The 22,523-nt window shown below is 34.2% G+C and overlaps 1 protein-coding gene across 19 annotated transcripts in view; it reads right to left on the reverse strand.

The window, feature by feature from the left end:
- PCDH15 (protocadherin related 15) overlaps positions 1–22,523 on the reverse strand; it is a 1,825,172-nt gene that overhangs the window by 61,521 nt on the left and 1,741,128 nt on the right. For all 19 annotated transcript variants that reach the window (XM_047425663.1, NM_001354420.2, NM_001354429.2 and 16 more), the window contains one exon: positions 2,351–2,566. In XM_047425663.1, coding sequence (XP_047281619.1) covers positions 2,351–2,566 — 216 coding nt within the window. The remainder of the gene's footprint in view (positions 1–2,350; positions 2,567–22,523) is intronic.

Raw genomic sequence — 22,523 nt, forward strand, 5'->3', positions numbered from 1 at the left:
GGGCAGGGAACATAAACCAATTAATGCCAACTTCCTAAAGCTAAACAAACAAACAAACAAAAATACCATCTCCCCACACCCCACCTGAGTAACAAAGGATCAAAGGCTACTCTCCCTAAAACCTTCCCCCTTCCCCCATGTCTCAGATGGAAAGGGAAAGTGCCTTGGAGTGGCTGTGGGCCAAGCAGGGGCCATCCTTTCATTTGCTTAGGGCATCAATCCACTCAGGCCTTGGGTCAATTCAGCTCAGCCTTTAGCCTCAGGCCAAATCCTTCATCCAGATAAGGGGTAGCCCACAGGGACCTCAAAAGGAGTATTAAAACCCAGAAAACTTTGTAACCAGGCCCTTGAGTCACTTGCTTGAGTCCACTCCCAACTTGTGGAGAGCTTTCTTGCTTTAATAAATCCCTGCTTTCCGAGGTTGCAGTGTTGCAGTGAGCCAGGATCGCACCACTGCACTCCAGCCTGGGAGTCAGAGGGAGAGTCCGTCTCAAAAATAATAATAATAAAATAATAAATAAATAAATAAATAAATGCCCACTTTCCTTGCTTTGTTCCTTTGTTTCGTTCCTGTGTTAATTTGTGTGTTTTGTTCAATTCTTTGTTCAAAACACCAACGACATGGACAATTCACACTCAAAGCCGTCATGTAACAATACTATAGCTAGGCATGGTGGTGAGTGCTTGCAGTCCTAGGTGCTAGGGTGGCTGAGGTGGGAGGATTGCTTGAGCCCAGGATTTTGAGGTTGCAATAAGCTTTGATTACACCACTGCACTTTGACCTGGGTGATAGAACCAGACCTTGTTTCTTAGCAACAACAACAACGATACTAATTATAGAATTTTGTATGTTTTTGCAGACATAATCAGCATGGATATAGGTCTGGAGAAAGGAGACAGTTGGAATTAACCAAAGTGGAGGTTTTGCTAAGTGAATATGACATAGAGAAAGAAAGCAAGAAAGTTAAATTTTATATGATGTACTGCTTATTATAATTGGTAATGCATTATAAATCCAGTAAACAAGAAAGAGAACATGAGAGGTTCTCATGAGAGAACACAATGGAAGTTAAAATTATTCGGCTAATTGGACTGGACATCCTGGTAGGAACAAAAGAATGATGGGTTTAGCTGCAATGTTAATTAAATGTTATGGACAAAGAGTGGGAGGTTTGAAATGGAGGTTATAAAGGTAATGGCAAGGTAAGCCAAGAACAGAAAGTTAAACACCACATGTTCTTATTCATATGTGGAATCTAATAAAAAGTGTTTACCGATCTTAATTTGATCAAAAATTTATGTCAAACTTAATATCTCCTATGTCAAAAGCTTCTTGGCTTAGAGTGGCCTTCATTTACTCTATTGCAGCTTTACTGTTAAAAATGAGAATGCTCCTGGAGGACTGTTTTGGCCACAATCATGGTGATTGTTCTTCACCATTATCTAAGAAGAAAAATAAAGCATTGATGTCTGCATGTATATGAAGGTTACGCTTGTCCAGGGAACTAAATGAGAAGAACTGCGAAAAAATGAAAATTTATGATGTAAAGAACAAAAGACAACTTATTCTTGATCTGTTTTTATGTGACAAATATTTCTAATGAATATACTTTGTATTAGATTCATCAGACAAAACTCCAAATAACCCATGCTTTCAAGTTGGTAAAGAGTCCACAGGATATATGCACTGGTGTTAAATATTTTCAATACAAGCTAATATCAAACTTCCCTTTCAAATGATCTATCACTAAACTTCTGCACTGCCTAAGTGAAAATTAGAACAGTGATATTATTGACTATAGCCAAATATAACTTAGTCAAGGCTAAACAATGTCATCATTGGGAATTTTGATAGAACAAAGAAATAAATACTATTGGAACAAAATTTGTCCCCAAACATTTTCTTTGTTTTCTCAATTACAAAATGCTGAAAGTAATTTAAACAAATAATTTCATAGTTTAATTTCTATAGTATAACTCTGTGAAGCATTTAAAATTTTTATGTAGCACTGGACACCCTATATTAAACATGAGCTTTGAAGACAAAATAGAAATCCAGTGCTTATACCTTTGCTGTTACAATCATATTTTTTCAAATATTATAATGTTTTTCTCAAAGGTCAAGAAAAATAAACACCTTACGGTGTTTTTGTAAATATATATATATATATATATATGAACAATATATTTACATATTCCTAAACTATAGTGACTAACAATCTGAGTGAAAATAATAATTATGTTTTTGAAAACCCGTTTTAAATTAATCTTAGAAGTTCTATAAACTGAAAACACTGACCTATGGCTAGTATCGTAGCTACTTCCCTTTCCTGAAGTTTTATCTACTTACGAGTACATCGGCTTTGCCGCTCAGTCCCTTCCCATAGTCGTCAGTTGCAATAACTTGAAACTTGAAGTAGGATCTCCTCATATTATGGAAGAGCATAGCAGTTTTGATAAGCCCTGTATATGTTTCCACTACAAATCCTTCTTTTCCCTCTTTAATTGGTGGTATTATGAGTCTGTAGGCCATGACACTATAATTGCCAGTATCTTTATCAGTAGCCTAGACGGAGGGGAAAAAAAAAGAGATTATAATTAAGCAGGAAAAGATAACCCTTATGAAATGGCTTACTTTTGTTTGTAAGAATGAGGTTTCTTATGTAATAATAACACAATAAAGCCCTCCTAAATGTCTGTTTTTTCTGGATATAGTTATGTAGATTAATAGACTTTGTGTCCACAGTTTCGAATGGTTGCTATTAGAATGATAATAACTGCTGAAGTATGAATAAAAGGGACATAGGTATAATTCTGTACCCTTTAACAAATTTCTCCCTACCCCTCCTTTCCTTTTACCCTTACCAGCCTCCAGTATCTTGTATTCTACACTTTATTTTTATGAGATCACCTTTTTTTTAGATTCCACATATGAATAAGAACATGTATGTGGCATTTAACTTTCTGTTCCTGGCTTATTTCATGTAACATAATGTCCTAGATAGGGAGAATATGTTCTAGTGCTCTATACCACTGTAGAATAACTACAGTTAACAATAGTATATAGTTCCAAATAGCTAGAAGAAGGATATCGAATTTTCCCAACACAAAGAAGTGATAACTGTTTGAGATGACAGATATGCTAATTACCCTGATTTGATTGCTATGCATTATACATATAGAAACATCTATGTACCCAATAAGTAAGTACTATTATTATTTGTCAATTTTAAAAATAGATTTTAAAAAATAAACAGACATAGACACTAACAGAGTCAATGAATCAAGACTTTTGGTTTACAGGTTTGTTGAGTTCAACTGTGTGTGCTGATCCAAATTGGTTGAAAGATGGGATTGGTTGTTTACCTAATGTTTGTCTTGCTGTAATAGGCATACAGTGTGATGGTATTTTTGATGTAGTATATAGCCTAAGGAGGATAAATATAAAAGAACGTAGTAAAATATCTCGAATGAAATAAAATAAAGTTGAGTTATAACAAATTTAGAGATGCATAAAAATATTCTAATTAATTAATGCCATAACATAATTCTCTAATTAGAGTTAGAATACTATCCGACTTCCTTTTTAATCATCCTGTATCCCGATTAAACATATTTGTTCCTGGTGATAGGTACTTATGATCCACATATTAAAGTTTCCTACCATTTAGAATTAAAAAGGACTAACACATTGTTTAGATTTTTTTCATTTGTTTTTAAATACAGCTATGAGAATCATATATTGGGCTGGCTTTATGGTGTCTAATTAGGGGTAATTTTTTAGAATGTCTATTTCAGAACCATTTCATAGTGAAATACTTGGAAAATAAATGGTAGATAGGAGAGTTTTAGAGGCTTGATAAAAGACTATATATACCTTATTCATGATACTAGATATGTAAGTTATACATTTTCATTTGTTATAACAATGATTATTATTTTTATTATCCGATTATTCTTATTTTTACCTATGCTATTATTATTAAGTATGAGTATGCATTTATGATCTGCCATTACTAAGAATTGCTAAGAATCATACAAAATACAAAATACAATCACACAAAATAACATCATACAAAAATAGTCTTATCTAATAACAATATAAAAAACTGAGGAATATATTGTTTTACTTATATAAATTAGTGATATTCAATAAAATTTTCTGAAATGATAGAAATGTTCTTAACCAGCTCTGTCTTATGCAGTAGGTACTAGCCAAATATGACAAATGAAAAGTGGTTGATGTGACAAAGAAACTGAAATTTCAATTCAATCTAATTTTAATTTAAGTTACATAATGAAAGACTACATAATAAGTAGTAAAGTTGAGACACAAATGATTAAAATAGTAAATCATAGCAAATGTGTATTAAATACAGCATCAACTTGATTTAGCTTCAAATTCTATATATATTGTGAACCATTTAAAACGTTTCCAGATAATCATATCTACTTGTTAGAAAAGGTAATTTAAACTACTCAACACAGATAATTTCACTTCAGGATCAGCTGTTTCATGAATTTTCTAGGGAGTTAATATTCTCTTTTCTTTATTTTTTTCTCTGTCACCCAGGCTGGAGTGCCATGGCATAAACTCGGCTCACTGAACCTTAGTCTCCCAGGTTCAAGCTAGCCTCACATGTCAGCCTCTGAGTAGCTGGGACTATAGGCACTCCACTACGCCTGGCTAATTCTTTGTAGACACAGGGTCTCGCTATGTTGCCTGGGCTGGTCTCGAACTCCTTGACTGAAGCAATCCTCCCATCTTGGCCTACCAAAGTGCTGGGATTACAGACATGAGCCACTGTGCCAAACCTAAAATTATCTTTAGAAGAGGACAAGCTCAAACTACCGGCTAATCACTTTAGATAGTTTATATGGCTTACAGCATGGCAGAGCTCAGTTTTGGTATTAGAGTAATAGTAATTAGTTATCAATGTTAGGTCACATTCTCACTTAAAGGAAAAAGAAAATGAACAAAGAAAGAAAAACAGTATCAAAATTTTTTGTACTTAAACTTTGAACCACAGGTTTATAATCACTCAACAAAGGATAGCATAAGATAGAAAAAGGCATATTCCCAGCTAAAATAAGTCAAAGTCTGAGTCAAGGTATCCAAGACATTTCTTCCACATAGAATGAGCAAATTTGGGCCTAATGTCAGATCAGTCAGATTTGGTTACATATTATTCTCTATCTTCTTATTAACATGGATATTTCTATGAAACAAACTTTTTATTATTAATGTAAACTTTATAAAGGAATAACAAACATGCAAAAAGTGTACAAATTATAAATGTAAAGCTCATTAAAATTTTGCAAAATACACACATCTACATGACCAGCATTTACATCAAGAAACAAAACAAGCCAGGCATGGTGACTCATGCCTGTAATACCAACACTTTGGGAGGCTAAGGCTGGAGGATCACCTGAGCCCAGGAGCTTGAAACCAGCCTGCACAATATAGTGAAACTCTTATCTCTTGAAAAAAAAAAATTACCCATATTCCAGAATGCACTTCATGCACTTGGAGTCACAATCTGAGACCTTCTTAAGGAAAACCACTTTCCTAATCTAACATTGTTGATTAGTTATGCCTATTTTTAAAACTTTACATTGACTGAATCATAAAATATGTTCTATTTTCTGTCTGACTTCTTTCATTCAATTTTGCACTGTAAGATTCTAAGCCCTTATATTTAAAATAAATACTGTATAACAACACTATCACATTTGGAAAAGAAAAGGTGGTTACCATAAAATCACCACAGTGATTGCTTGGTATATTAAGCTACTTTACACAGTTCTGACTGATTAACTTCCAATTTCAGTAAGCAGGTAATTTCACTTTGCAATATTCCTAATATATTAAATTATGATAACTACAAAATAGTCATATTCCATCTTAAAATATTAAAGTGTTCTGTTAAATGTGCCTTTCCTGAAACAAATTATCACTTAATGCAAAAGTTTGGGTGTGGAACTAGACAATTTAACTCAGAAATAACTATTTTCTTTTATGATTTTTCATATAAATGCCTTAATATTTGCAGAAAATAGTCAAGAATGAGATAAAAGTTTTTTTAAAAATCTTGTCTACTGGAATTAAAAAAAATAAAACCCTATTGTCATATGTATGTTATACAGTAAGGACTCTAATTTTTATTTCTTTGAATGAATATGATAGTCTTTGGGATCTTAGAGATCTTATTTCAGGAGATATTCATCAAAGATGATTGCCAGGATCATTAGCATATTTTTCAAATCTCCCCTCTTCCTCAAGTATGTTCAGTTGAATACTAGTAATTTAAACAGTGACTGATGAAAATTCCAATGGGTGCCATACTTAAGAGCAATTGCATGGATTTTTAATTTTTAGTCTCCCCAATTTATAACAAATACATATTTTAAAATCCGAAACCTCTCCTCTAAGATGTGACTCTGATTGATGTGGAGCATATGCAATACCATCATACATAGATAACAACCAAATGTTCTTTCTATAAAATCAATAACAGGATACGATATCTTTAAATACACACTGAGTCACACCAGAGATACCAATAATAAAATTCAGAGCGCAGTTTTAAATCTGGGTCAATATGTGAAAAATAAGTGAGAGTTTCAGCACAGAGTATATTGTCTCTATTTGTTGTTAAATAATTTTAAACTTACTTTTTTGCTTGTTTTTTGCATTATGTTTTGGAGTGAGGTGGACTCCAATGTCAGGTGTGACTTTGAAAAATTAATAACTCAAGGCCGGGCGCGGTGGCTCACACCTGTAATCTCAGCACTTTAGGAGGCTGAGGCGGGCGGGTCACAAGGTCAGGAGATGGAGACCATCCTGGCTAACGCAGTGAAACCCCGTCTCTACTAAAAATTAAAAAAAAAAAAAAATTAGCTGGGCGTCGTGGCAGGCACCTGTAGTCCCAGCTACTCGGGAGGCTAAGGCAGGAGAATGGTATGAACCCGGGAGGCGGAGCTTGCAGTGAGCCAAGATCGCGCCACAGCACTCCAGCCTGGGTGACAGAGCGAGACGTCGTCTCAAAAAAACAAAACAACAAAACTAATAACTCAAAATTTCAGATTTCTTTATTCATAAGATAAAAATAAGGATGCCCAAAAATAGTATTTTAAAATTTTATATATATTCATACGTGTGTGTGTGTGTGTGTGTGTGTGTGTGTATATACACAAAAATATAAATATGACCAAGTCCAGTGTAACTATTATAGTTACCTAAGTTGTCATAATGGTGATTCAAAAGGTTTAACATTTTTTCATATTATGTTTATCCATGAATATGTAAATTTATGCAATCAATTTAGACCCTTATTACTTCAGACATATTATCACACAATTGTAACTCCCTTATAACTCTACTTTTCTTAATTTTCTTTTCCAGCTCTCCTTTATTGCTTCCAGTTCTTGTTTTGTTTTGTTTTGTTTTGTTTTGTTTTGTTTTGTTTTGTTTTTGAGATGGAGTTTCACTCTTGTTGCCCAGGCTGGAGTGCAATGGCTCGATCTTGGCTCACCGCAACCTCCACCTCCCTGGTTCAAGCAATTCTCCTGCCTTAGCCTCCCCAGCAGCTGGGATTACAGGCACTTTGGGAGGCTGAGGCGGGCGGATCACCTGAGGTCACAAGTTCGAGACCAGCCTGACCAATATGGAGAAACCCCGTCTCTACTAAAAATATAAAATTAGCCAGGCATGGCTTCCCCCTCATTTTTGAAGCAATTTTGCAAAACCTCTTCCTCAGTTGAAATCCATGAACTTTTGTACAGTACACACTCTACCCCTCCTTGTTGCCAAACATAATGAGGATGTTGGTATCTTGCTCTCAGTCTACCCCTTCTACTTCAACTTCCTCCCTCTTTACAAATTTCAGTATTCATTGAGATGACACATCCAGCAACTTATTTTTAAAGTATTAGGCATGAATAACATTCATCAGTCTTTGAACGACCTCACTGCATCGATTTAATTCTACAGTCACACTTTAGTCTTTTGCCTTAGGGAGATATTCCGCTTAAAGAAACACTCCATATTTAATTTATATATTAAACTTTCATGTCTAAATTCTGACCACAACTTTAATCATCATACTTAGTTAAGACCTCTTCTTTGATATCAGTGAATTTTCAGTTCTGCAAACTGCCTTTTGCTCCCATTACTTCAGGGTTTATGTCCCTTTCTGCTTTATCATAGAAGTCAGAGTTGATCACATTGTTCTCATTTCTCTCTCCTTCCACAACACCTGGATCTTTCTCCTCTTGGACCAAACTAACCATCAGTTTACTCCTGGTGACTGAAGAGGGCGCAGAGAAATTAAATAATCAGTCAGACTAGTGTTACTGTAAGTCCATGGTCTCTGAGTTTCACTGTGCCTTTGTCTATTTAGGAAATCCTTGCTATATGTAATAAGTTCTCTTTCTCACTCCAGAAGTTTGCCTTTTTCTTTAGTTCACAGATTCTTTCAGTCTTCTCCAGAGATAAGGAAGCTCTAATTCCCATAAAATTTGAGGATATCAAATGTGAGATCTCTCAGCTTTTCATCACATAACTAAAAAAGTACCTATATCTGTACTTACTTTGACTACTTTCTTCAAATCTCAGAGGAGCAGCTGACACGTATCTCTCACTGAAGGTACTTATGCCTTAATCTGAATCACTCCCATCCCTTCTGCATTTAATGCTTCATCAGCTCTATTGATCTCTGTCCTTTTCACCTCTCCTCTACAGACTATAAAACACGTTATGTCTCTCTCATTAAAATGAAATGAAACTTTTCTTTTACTGAGTCCACACTCGTGACACTAGCCCCCAAACTTCCATACCTATTTTTCACAGTTAAGTTCCTCAGAAAATTTTTATAGAATCACCATCTGTAATTCCTTACTTTACAATCATGCCTTAACCGCAGCCAGATCTCTGCCCCTGCCATGCCATTTAATTTGCTAACATCAGTGACTGAGGCTGGACTCCATCTCAGATCAACAATCAGTCTGGTGTTCTTTAAATTACCAAGTCCATTTATGTTGTTTGTATAATGCTGTTGCTGCTTCCGCTGTTTGCTAACATTTATTGAACACTTACAATTTGCCAGATGCTATGTAAATACATATATTATTACATTATCTCATGACATCCTTTCCATTGAGTAGATTCCATTATTATTTTATAGGCCAAGAAATGGAGGCACAGAGAGATTAGTAACTTGTTCATAATCACACATATGGTTGTTAGCACAGTGGGATAAGTCTCACTTTAAAGCCACTACATTCCACATGTGAGACTAAATACCAGGGATAAAACTGCAGTTTAAAAATAAAACAACAAATGTTCGATAAAATATTCTAAGAAATCTTCCTAGATCCATCAAGAAGATGGAAAGACAATAAATATGCCAGTCAAAAACAAAGTGCTATGGACTGATTATTTCTCCCCAAATTTATATGTTGAAACATAATACTCAATGTGATGTCATTTGAAGGATGGGCCTTTGCAAAGCAGTTAAGTTCATGATGGCAGAGCCCCCATGAAACGGATTGGTTCCTTTTTGAAAAGAGGCCCCAGAGACTTCCTTTGTTCCGTTTTGCCATGAGAGGACACACTAGAAACGCAGCCATCCATGAACCAGGACGGCCTCGCTAGGCACTTAATCTATTAGCACCTTGATCTTGGGCTTCCCTGCCTCCAGAACTATGAGGAAAAATAAATTTGTCTTGTATATAAGCTTCCAAGTCTATGGTATTCTGCTATAGAAGTCTGAATGCAAAAGTAAAGGTAAGAATATAAAAACCATAGTACTGATGGGAGCTTTCATTTAGAATTTTTTTGTTTTTTTTACTGACCTGGGTAAAATTAAAATTTAACTTGTCTGGTTTTCAGTAGCTCAGACAATAGGAGGCAAGGCCCCAAGCCTACTCATGAAAGTGAGTCTATTAAGATTTCCCTCCCCAGAAAGTTAAATTCTCACCGTAAGAGTAAAGGAGAAATTTACTTTTCCCCCTGCTACCACTGCTACTATCACCCCAAACTGCAACGAAAACTGTAAACTTAAACTTTGCTATTGAGGGGAGTGAAGAGAAAACTTCTTTGAGAATCTAGGACGAAATACAGCCCCTCATTTTAGTTTGCAGCCATTATTTGCCGGCCACCAGTTTGCCCAACTCAAGGAGAAATCATAATATTCCATTGGTAAAGTCTAATAGGCCTGATCTCCACCTGAATGGACAGAAAAACCACAACCTGAGAATTTAAGAGAAATCATCTATGACTGAAAATGGCCTGGTCTCCTGCCTGACAGAAGCAGGTGCTTTTTCAAAAACCCCTCCTGCAAGCCATGCCTAAAATAATTCTAACAAATAAAGTTCCAAGAAAGATGAAAAGTTATAATAATTATCAAAACAAACAAGAAACAATCATAAAAAAGTCCGTTGAGATAAAAAAATCAAATTCATAACAACATAGACTTTAAATATTTGAATTAGTAGACACTGAATATAAAGCAAATATGGTTAATACATTTCAATAATAAAGAGCTTTAAAATGCGGAATAAAAAATGAGACTCGTTGAAAAGAAATGAAAAAGTATCTTTTAGAAATAAAAAAAAATTAGAATTAAATACCCCAAGATGGGATTGTTAGCAGGTTAAGCGCAGCTGACCAGGGAATTAGTAAATGAAATGATAGGGCAAAGGAAATGACACAGAATGTTTCACAGAGCTACGAAGATGAACAACCTCAAAAAAAAAAAGTTTGAGATATGGAGTTTAGAATGAAAATTTTGGCAAATATCTAATCAGAGTTTCAGAAAGAGAGAAAGCGAGAATAGAACAGAATTTTCCAGAACTGATAAAAGATTGTTATCCACAGATATTAAGAAGCCCAATAAACTGCAAACAGGATAAATAACAAGTAACTCACACCTAGAACCCACATGTCATATAGAAACTACAGAACCACGTACTGTAAATATAATAAGTATTGTTTTCTTAATATTTTGGGAAAATTCATAGAGATATTTTAGTAATGGCATAAATAATTCATAAATATATTCTATAATTTATTAATAGTAATAAGGAGATGTCTAACAAGTTGGGTTAAATTAATGCATAAAAATTAAAACTGACTCACTGTGGAAACGCTAAATGAATACAATTTACTAAAGAATTAATATGATATTACTTTTTCCACCAATTTCTCTATAATCAAACATTTATGCTCAGTTCACAACAAAGTCATTAATATCTGGGAGAGGTGACTCTGGAAGATTTGATTCACTGACTTTTATGAGTTTCCCTTAGTGAACAAAATAAAAAAAAAAGTTAGTCTAGAGTTCTTTTAAAAGAATAAAAGTCAGAAATGAATATTATAATTATACTTGCTATAATTATATTTTAAGTGAAAGCTTAGATACAGGAAACCACTTACCCATTTCTAAGACCTCATCTGGAAATTTTAATGGATACAGATGTACAACATTAAAAGAAAATCACCAAATAATTGCCTCTATCATACAGGGGAGTAGGGGAGACCATTAATTTTCTAATAGCCTAAATAACTGTTCCCCTCTGTTGCCTAAATGAATACCATGGATGCAGAAATATTAGTGAAATAATTAGTGATGTCCTAAGAACTTTCAAACCCATTAAAGTTCAGTAATGCCAAGTTTAACTTTAGCTTCTCAATTAGACCCATTTTAACATTTAACGGTATTGAAGGCTCACTTACCCTGAAATAGAGTGAAAGTGTTTTAGACTGTCTGGATAAAAATACTCAAATCTCACATTTCCACCTACCAAGGTCACTATGTCAAGTTTGCAAAAAGCAAAAATAACAGAGCTTTGGCAGGTTAGAACCACTTTAACTTGAGTCTTGTTTTTTTTTTTGTTTTTTTGTTTTTTTTTTGACACAGTCTTGCTCTGTCACCAGGATGGAGTGCAGTGGCATGATCTCAGCTCACTGCAACCTCCGCCTCACGGGTTCAAGCGATTCCCCTGCCTCAGCCACCTGAGTAGCTGGGACTACGGGCACCCACCACCAGATCCGGCTAATTTTTTGTATTTTAGGAGAGACGAAGTTTCGCCATGTTGGCCACGATGGTCTTGATCTCCTGACCTCGTGATCCACCCGGCTCGGCCTCCCAAAGTGCTGGGATTACAGGCATGAGCCACCGCGCCCGGCCAACTCTTGTATTTTTAGAAACCAGAAAGAAATCTTTATTTTAAAGTCCTTAAAGACAATATACCCAGAACATGATAAAATATGAATAAGAAAAATGTCAGGTAGATTGATCTACTTTTAGGGCTATTCAAAACTTTTGCAAAAAAAAAAAAGAAGAAACAAGGAGAGAAAGAGAAAAGAAACATTTTAAATATGCAAGCTCAAGTGTTTGATTTTGCATAAGAATGTCAAACAGTGACTACAATGCAATATTAATAATTTCTAAGTTCAACATACCTATTTACTTTTTGTAGAGTTAAGTAAAAGTCTAATATAATTCTGAGAGATTCTAAAGAGTAAAATACAACTCATTGTAGAAACAGCAATGTAATAATGGAAACACGCCAGTGCAACAATAATAGAGACATGCCATCATAGTTTGAATTACAAAGACCTTTACAGGGCTGGGTTTCGGTTAGAATTTATCAAAATTTACTCTTAATTTAAATCATGGTGCAAAAAATTACAGGATAACATCTATTTAGAAAATTAAAGAAAGAAACTAAAGAAAAGCCAAATGTTCCTTTTATTATTTTAAAAAATTATATGGTAAATTCTGAACCATAGAAGGCTTGAGAGTACAAAACAAGCAGGACTTGCATGTATGTTATAATTGAAGTTTCCTTTTTTATTTTTTCCTTTCTTTTAAAAATGTTTTGTAAAATAAATATTACCCTATAAATGGTTTTGCTTTTTCCGTCATTATTGCTAATAATAAAATGATTATACCTCCCTCAGAGATGCTTTAAAATAAACTCTGAGCTAATTGTTCTAACTTTTCAACCATGTGAAAAAGAAAAAAATTGTGCTCTATTATATAGACAAGTTAACAAAAGAAAACACACATGTAATTTATGCTTTTTACTTGAGAGGAAACACTAGTTTAAATGTTGGTTTGGTTTTGAATCACAAAATGCTATTAATTTTTACCGAAAATATCCACTCTTAAACAGCTTATCTTTTACAATAATTCTGTAGTTATACATCCTAAATCCTTCAGCATTCAAAGCAAATTAAATAACATACTTGTTATTTTTGAACTTCCTGATTTTTCCTTAGTTACATTAGGTTCAATCAGTCCAAACCAAATTCAGCTGCTGCTTCTTGGCTCCCACCTTGCTGTCCCTCTTCTGACTATCATATGTGGTTCTCCTTCTGTTTTTTCTTTTTGCATAGGAAGGGCAACACCATCTATGAACTGAACTGTTCTAAAAAATTTCAGCATCCTCCCCCTCGGTTTAATCTCACCTCCTGGCTCCTCCCTACTTCCAGTCCATCAGCAAGCATTCTGATTTCTACCTATACAATATTTCTCAGTTCTGTATAATACTTTAGGCCAAGCTTACACTGGCCAATTTCAGGCTCTCATCAGATCTCACTTTTAACTCTAGCGATAGCTTAAAAATTACTGATAGCTCCCACTTGCCAGAGATGAATGTTAAAACAAGTCCTTTAAATATTCTCAATCTGATTAAAGTTCATGATTCCAACTTTTTGCTTTACATTTATTCTACTTCCCAGAACCATATTATTTTGTTTTTCTGAAGAATGTGTTCTTTCAGGTTTCTATTTCTTTGTATACATTGTTTCTTCTACCTTAAATGAAATGTCTTTTGTCTGCTAGGCCAAATGATGTTCACTTCTTGGCTATACTATGGCACACACACACACACACACACACACACACTTTGAATATATATATATATATATATATATATATTCTACATATACATACAGTAAACTATGGCATACACACACACACTTTGAATATATATATAGACTATATATATTCTATATATATAGTCTATATAGTCTATATATAATAGACTATATATACTCATATAATATATTCTATATATAGTCTATATATATACTATACTATGGCGTACACACACGTTGAATATATATATATATCTCCATATATATAAAATGTGTGTGTATGCCATAGTATAGTATATATATAAATATATAATATATTATATATATACGTGTGTGTGTGTATATATATATATATAATAAAACACTGAATAAAGCAATCAAACCTCAGCTTAAATGACCCCTTTTCTGAAGGTGTTCTTATCTCTACTAGGGAGTGCTGCTTCTACTTACATATTTTCATTGTTATGTTACATAAATGTGTGTGTATATATTAGCATTTATTATGACACGTTTTAATTTTGTGTGTCCATTATACGTCAAATTTGTTTCAGTTCATATTTTTCACTGTGGTACCACGTGCAGTCAGTGGTCAAATAATATTTGGCTTAAATGTCTATAGAAGACTATCATAGTGGTTGAGACATCAATAATTAGAATTGAAAGATTTGAGTTTAGTTCTACCACTTATTAGATACATGAGCTTGGGCAAGTGATTCTCTAAGGCTTTGCTCCTCATTTGTAAAATGAGGAAAATAGGACATGCTGAATAAGTTGGCTGTGAATATTCACTCGGGTGTAAAATGCAGTGCCTGGTACAAAGTAAACCTAAATCAAGGTTAGCTGTTGTTTTACTATTGCATTTACTACTGAGATCTTTGAATACTTTGTAGCTATCTTCCTGATCTCTTCTATTTGTTCTTTTTTTTTTTAAATCACTTTTTGTACACTTAAACGTACCTTTCACTTTCTGCATCGTGTCACTGGCTATAAATTCTTTGGAAGCAGGACCATTTTCTGAATCGTCTTTGGATCTCATAAGTCTCATGGCCAGTAGAATGTAATTAGAAAATATTTGCTAAAGAATAAATCTGCCACTGAGGAAAGTATAGTTATTGATGTCTCTTTACTGAATGCTATATAATTTATTGATAGCAAAGCAAAAGCACTTAAATAGAAAATATTTATAATGATACAGATATAATAAGATGCTTATAAGGAGGGTGGGAGCCAAGAAGCAGTAGCTGAATTTGGTTTGGATTAATGAAGACTAATGTAACTAAGGAATAATATAGAAGTTTGGAAGTTTGAAATAACAAGCATGTTATTTAATTTGATTTGAATGCTGAAGGATTTACGATGTATACCTACAGAATTATTGTAAAAGGTATACCATTCATAAATAATTTAAGTATAGGCATTTTTGGTAAAAATTAATAGCATTTTGTGATTCAAAACCAACATTCAAACTAATTTTTTTCTCTCAAATAGAAAGATCAAATTATACATGTGTTTTCTTTTGTTAATATGTCTATGTGCCTCAGCCTCTCGAGTACCAGGGACTACAGGCGCGCACCACCACGCCTGGCTAATTTTTGTATTTTTAGTAGAGACAAGGTTTTGCCATGTTGGCCAGGCTGGTCTTTAACTCCTGGCCTCATGTGGTTTTGCCATGTTGGCCAGGCTGGTCTTTAACTCCTGGCCTCATGTGTTCCGCCTGCCTTGGCCTCCCAAAGTGCTGGTATCACAGGCTTGAGCCATCGCGGCTAGCCGTAACTTTATATTCTATACTTAAAATTTGCTTCATGATAAGCTGATAAATCCTGTTTGTAATTTCTGCATTTTGTATTTGTACTTTTTCATTCATTTTAAATCTTCTTCATGTAAAACAAATATTTTGTACTCCAATGCAGTGTTCAATATTAACTTGTAATTTCTGAAAATTTTACTGAGAAACCACTGGAATATTTAGAAATTCAAATAAAATAGGTGTTATGCATATTACATATAATGAAGACTTCACAGTTCATAATAAACATCTATTTTAAAATTACATGGCCACAGATTCAACCCATGGGCCCAAAATTTGCAACAGAGCAGGAAGACTTGTATTTTAATATGCTAACAGTACAAGTCATTTGACCTAGAGATAAAACAATTTAATATTTTAAGAACACAGGGTTCACGAAGCAAACTTGAACTTACTGTAAAATGAACTTACTGTAACATGATTTCAAATATGAATAGTGTATAAGAAGTCTATTCATCTTTTAATTTCTAAATTTAATGGAAAGTCAAAGGAAAGTAATAGCAGGGCAATTGAAAATTAAATCTGAATGTCGAATCCTCTGTAAATTCTGACAATTTTACTGCCTACCTAATAAATTTACAAACAGAAACAAAAAGCTCTATTACAAAAATTTTTAAAAAAACCTTTCTTATTGCTTTCATAGTAAAAGAGTATGTCGAGGCAAATATAATTCAATTTATAAATGTTTTACCTTGGAAAATAAATTTATAATTTTCAAAATAGACTGGATATATAGGGCTATGATGAAAGTAATTATTACCAAACAAAATGCCTTTAGTATTGTTATAATGACACTAATTGTAAAGAAGACTGTATTTATGGACTAGAATGGTACTATTTGTACATGGGACAATAAGATCTGTCTCCTCGAATTTATATAATTGTAACATGTTAATATAAACAACCCTCAAAAAAACAGTGTCTGTCCTCAGTGTCCTTCATTTAAATTGATGGTATTTTGGAGCTCTCCCTCGTGCTCTCTCTCTCTCTGTATGTGTATGTGTGTGTGTTTAAAAACACACATATGTATATATCACATATGTATACACATGCACACATATATAGTTATTTTTATATTTTATAACATGATGTATTTTGTGTCATGAGTACCAACTTACAAGTTTGCTAAAAAGAAATGGCTCCAACACCAGTAAAATTTCAGTGAAATAGTCTTGCTGCATGCAGCTATACTACCTAAAATTTCAGGATTTGTTAGCCAGACTCAAATACTGCATGTTCTTACTTATACGTGGGAGCTAAATAATGTGTACACCTGGACATAGAGAGTGGAATAACAGTCACTGGAGACTCAGAAAGGTGGGAGGGTGGGAGAGGGTGAAGGATGAGAAATTACCTAATGGGTACACTATTAGGGCGATGGTTACAGTAAAATTGGGAATTTACCACTACACAATACATCCATATAACAAATCCACTTGTAACCCCTAAATGTATAAAAATAAAAAAAGTAAAAATAATCATTGATAAAATTTTCTTAGCTTAGGCAGCAGAAAGTAATTGAGCATGACCAAAAACGTTTATGCCAATAGAGCAAAGAGAAAAACTGAGTACACATAATAAAATTTATCTTTTGAAGTTCACACCTGGACTAAATTATTAGACATACATAATTTTTAATCATTGAAAAAAACCAAGCCACCATGTATTTATATTCTTAAGAATAATATTTCTAAAATGTGTATGCTAGATTACTTTTGTCTACATAAAATTATACATATTTTTAACCCTTGCGATGTTTTGATGTGAATTGTGGTTCACAAAATATACTGGGAACTAAGTAAAAAAATTACAACAGGTAAATGACACAGATCTGATCAGGACTGAGATGAAATATTGTGGAAGCATCCATGGTCAGAGATTGCAGTGATTTTTATCTGAAGAGTTGGCCCCAAAACAATTTACTATACAGGATGATTAACATTACAATTCCATTTTGAGATAATTTGGTAAAATGTTAATATTATGAATTGCCCACTTGCTTTTTTTTTTTTTTTTTTAACATGGAGTTTGTTTCTGTTGCCCAGGCTAGAGTGCAATGGCACAACCTCAGCTCACTGCAACCTCCGCCTTCTGAGTTGAAGCAATTCTCCTCTGTTGGGAGAAAAGCTGAGTGTTGGGAGAAAAGCTGAGTGTTGGCAGAGAAGCTGAGGCAGGGCTTGCATGTCTGTGAGACTTGCTGGCTCCTTGCTTCTAGCACTCCCCTTATCTCAAGCAGACATATGTTTCTCATTCACTTGATACACTGTTTCCTTTCAACCCCCACATCCACATCACCTTTTTTGTTTGTTTGGGCACCAATAAATAGCATGGGCTCCCAGAGCTCGGGGCCTTTGCAGCTTCCACACTCGTGATGGCCCCCTAGTCCCACTTTCTCTCTCAAATGTCTTTTTCTCATTCCTTTGACTCTGCTGGACTTCGTCGCCCCCACTACCTGGTGTTGGGTCTGATCACCCCAACATTCCTGCCTCAGCCTCTCAAATAGCTAGGATTACAGGCACGCGCCACCACGCATGGCTAATTTTTGTATTTTTAGTGGAGATGGGGGTTTCATCATGTTGGCCAGTCTGGTCTCGAACTCCTGACCTCAAGTGATCTGCCCACCTCAGCCTCCCAAAGTGCTGGGATTACAGGTGTGAGCCACCGTGCCTGACCCCAACTGCTATTTTTTAAAAATATGGTTATTTTTCATGAACCACTGATGGAATTGTAATACACGCATATCTCTTTGCAAAGTTATTAGAATGTATTTGTTTTTCCCTCTGTTTTTCTTTTAAAATATTCCCAAATCATTTACATCTAATTATTAATGTTCTGTATTATGTGTAAAGATGAAAAATTGTAAAAATGTAAATGGCCAATAGTCTTTTATAATGTGTTTAATATATAAAATGCTTTGTGCTTCTTGCTTTTTAGAAAAATACCATTAAATGCAAATGGACCAAGGAATACAAAAACTTTATAATTTTATCCATTTACAGGCATCATTAACACATTGGTGTTTGTTCCTTTATGTTTTTTTGATGTACATATGTATATACATATATGTACATACACACATATACATATAGGATATTATGATCCTAGTTTACTGAAAGAATACACATATGTATACATATAAAAATACATAAGAATACACACACATATATACACACATATGCATACACATACATATGTGTGTGTATTCTATGTATTCATATATGTATATGTGTGTGTGTATTCTTCCAGCAAACTAGGATCATGCCATCCTATAGCTTTGTAATCCATTTTTTTGTCATTAGCCAGCCATTAAGAATTTTTTTGTTTTAACCATTTTCTATTTTAAACATCATACAACAGAAAGAGTAGGATAAAAATATCATAATGATCAGGTAAAATTATTTAAAGAGATATATTTTTTTCTTTGCATCATCATCTCCTTTTTCTCTTTTCTTATTCGTTAAATCTTTGTTTTTACAAATCCCTGTGCTAAGGGCTGATACTCGGTAGACTGCAGGGAGGAAACTGCTCTGCCACTTAAAAAACACTGACCAAGAAGCAGGTCATCTACACTAGTTCCTCACAAATGTCCTTTGTATGGCAGGAAGGAAGATATGTATGTTTTTAAGTGAATACATACACATCTATAAATTGTTGTAAAATAACCCCCAGAGAACACCAACATTACCAAAGCTTGAAAGATAGTTTCTAAATAACATTCACATTTAAAAGGCTTTTGTTTTGTTTGAGATGGAGTCTCACTCTCTTGCCCAGGCTGGAGCGCAATGGTGTGATCTTGGCTCACCACCACCTCCGCCTCCCAGGTTCAAGCGATTCTCCTGCCTCAGCCTCCCGAGTAGCTGGGATTACAGGTGTGTGTCACTGCACCCGGCTAATTTTTGTATTTTTAGTAGAGACGGGCTTTCACCATGTTGGCCAGGCTGGTCTTGAACTCCTGACCTCAGGTGATCTGCCCTCCTCGGCATCCCAAAGTTCTGGGATTACAGGCGTGAGCCACTGTGCCTGGCCTGTTTTTGTAAAAAAACAAAACAAAACAAAACAAAACAAACTGGTTTGTTTTTATTTGATTTGGCCAAAAAATAGCACTGCTCAATCTGTCTTTAACTTACTTGCCTTTGGCCAACTTGCTCTAAACCAAATTGTTCTTCAGCCAAATCTGCAGGGGCTGACACTGACAACTACTGGGGCGATTAAATGCAGGTTGAGTTTTGTACTGAAAAGGAGTAAGAGACAGAAGACTATATTTGAGGAAGATCTGGGAAATGTAAGAAATCATCTGAAAGTTGACTCAGTGCCCTGCTCTGTTTTACACCCTTTAACAAAGAGGGTATCATAAAAATTTCTTAATTCTGGTAGTTAGAAAGAATAAAAGTCATTCCGTGGGTGCCATTTCTAAACCATGGAAGATTAAATTAATGACCCCAAATCACACAGTTGGTGAGCAGAACATATAGTCTTTAACTCCAAGCCCCCATGCAGAGTTCGCCAAAAAACTGACTGTACTGAGAAAAGTATGTGGTGGGCTGAAGATTATTATCAGGTTCCTTGGTTCAGAAACAGATAATACCTGTACTGAACAGATAGCTTTCATTAAAAATTACAATCTAATATTTCTCACATTTTTCCCTCTGTGTAGATACTGTTAAGTCCAGTAGGAATTAGATTAAGACAAGCAGCTTTATCTCTACACCTCTTTTTCAGGACAAAGCAGAAGACAAAACTGGCAGGACACAGAGTTGCTTGTATCCTTATTAGTGATGCTACTTCATTAAATTTCATGTTGAAAGATAATTCAATGATTTAATTGCATTTAATGCTAATCAGACCCTTATAAATGTAGGTGAGATACACATTCTCATTGTATTATTTTTCATTTCTCATTAGTTACCCCTAATTTTCATGATGATTACTAACATAATATACCATTAATACTCTCAGGAGGTGGCAGAAAAGATTATGTGTCATGCTGTGATTCATTAATGCCAGAGAAAGAGCTGCTTCGTTTTTCAATATTTTATAGGTAATTCATTCTTTAATAATGAAAAATAAATTTTCTGCCATTCAGAACTTTCTATCAATACATTTACTTTGAAAAATGGCAATGTTGACCATACCTATATACAATGGGGTACTTATGGTCTCTCTATAAACATTCTTAACTTGCTGGCCTTTCCCAGGCTGGGCTTATTTTTTATATAGATTGTGCCCCCTCCTTCTAAAGAAAACTTATTTAATAAATTTCACTGCCTTTTCCCTTTTTTCCTACTTTAATTAAGAGAACTTCAAGATTTATTTCCACTTAGCAGATGTACATTAATTAGTATAATATAATTTCACTCCATTTTATGATATACTGTGGTATAAGGACCAAAAAACCTTCAATATGCCTTTTAAAAAAAAGAAATATTATTTTAAAAACTGTTCTCTGGATAAATTTATACTGATACTGCTTGAAGACTGTTTGAAGTGTTTCCAGCTGTGCTGTTAGGGTTTGTTTCTCAGGACTTCATGCCTGTACATATAGAGATAATTATTTATTTTTTCTTAAGCTTACCATACTCCCAGAAAGAAAAATATCAAGCTACAGATAACCATTGACAACAAGAAAATTCTATGCAAAAATACTTTATAACATGGTGCTAAGATAATACTACTCATTTAAAACATATAAATATGCCTCACACATTTTAATCTGGTCAGTATTCATATAAGAGAACCAACTATCTCATTTAACATATACAAGGATTTAGAAAAGTTATATTGAGTATTCCTCAGTGGAATAATATTTTCATGTAAATAATACACTAAGGTGTATCTCAAAGAGAACTCATCTGGTGACTTAATGGAGGAATCTATTATGTTGTATTCAGCTTCTTATAATTATTCCTTATTCTACTATTAAGAAGACAAATTAGCATTCTATACTAATGCTGAAGGTGAATTCTGGAAAGAGAGGCCCAGTATTCAGTTTTAAGGGCAAAGAAAAATGGCTGTGTGTTCAATAAAACTGTGTTTTTAATAACATGTATGCACTGTGCATGCTGTTTGAAACATTTTGATTTTGAGATTACTATCATCTTACAGGGAAAAAGAACAACTCAGGTAACAGGTAACAATGACTATTGAGAGATCTATTGAGAGAATGTCTATTTAGAGAATGTCTAAGTTCAGAGAGAGGAACGAACCGTGCTCAGTGCTTTATGTGCATTTTCTCATTTATATTCAGATAAAATTCATTAGCTAGTGTTGTCATCACTCTGCAGACCTGTTGCTTACAGAAATTAAGAAACCTGTCCACTCCTGGTTACACAGCCCACTCATGGTTAAATAAAACCTCACATTTGTCCTTATTATGCTTTTGGAAAACGGTTAGACTTAAATATATCAAAACTTTATTTTTATAATGTCCTTTATATATTATATTCATTAACCTTTCTTTCACAGTCTTCCGATTTAGCATACCCATAACATTTGGTTAAACTTTAATCAACATTGACTTAAATAAAATGTTCTTGTAGTAATTCCTATCATGACTTCATGTTTTTGGGGCAGGAGCTGCTAGTCGTTTCCTGCCCACATGTATGCCTCTTTTTTTTTTTTTTTTTTTTTTTTTTGGCACCTTTGGGCTCAGCCGCATCTTACACTCATATCTTAGCTCTGAACCAGAATATTGAGCCCAAAAAGAGCCCATTCCTCAAAAGAGGTTGTTTCAGTATCAACTGGTCTTGTTCTATTCAAATGTTACTTAATCTCAAAGTGAATATGTTCAGAGCTCACTGCCTTCTGGGTCTGGAAGCCACACTGTTT

The sequence above is a fragment of the Homo sapiens genome, chromosome 10, assembly GCF_000001405.40.
Source record: "Homo sapiens chromosome 10, GRCh38.p14 Primary Assembly".
In the NCBI taxonomy this organism is placed as follows: domain Eukaryota; kingdom Metazoa; phylum Chordata; class Mammalia; order Primates; family Hominidae; genus Homo; species Homo sapiens.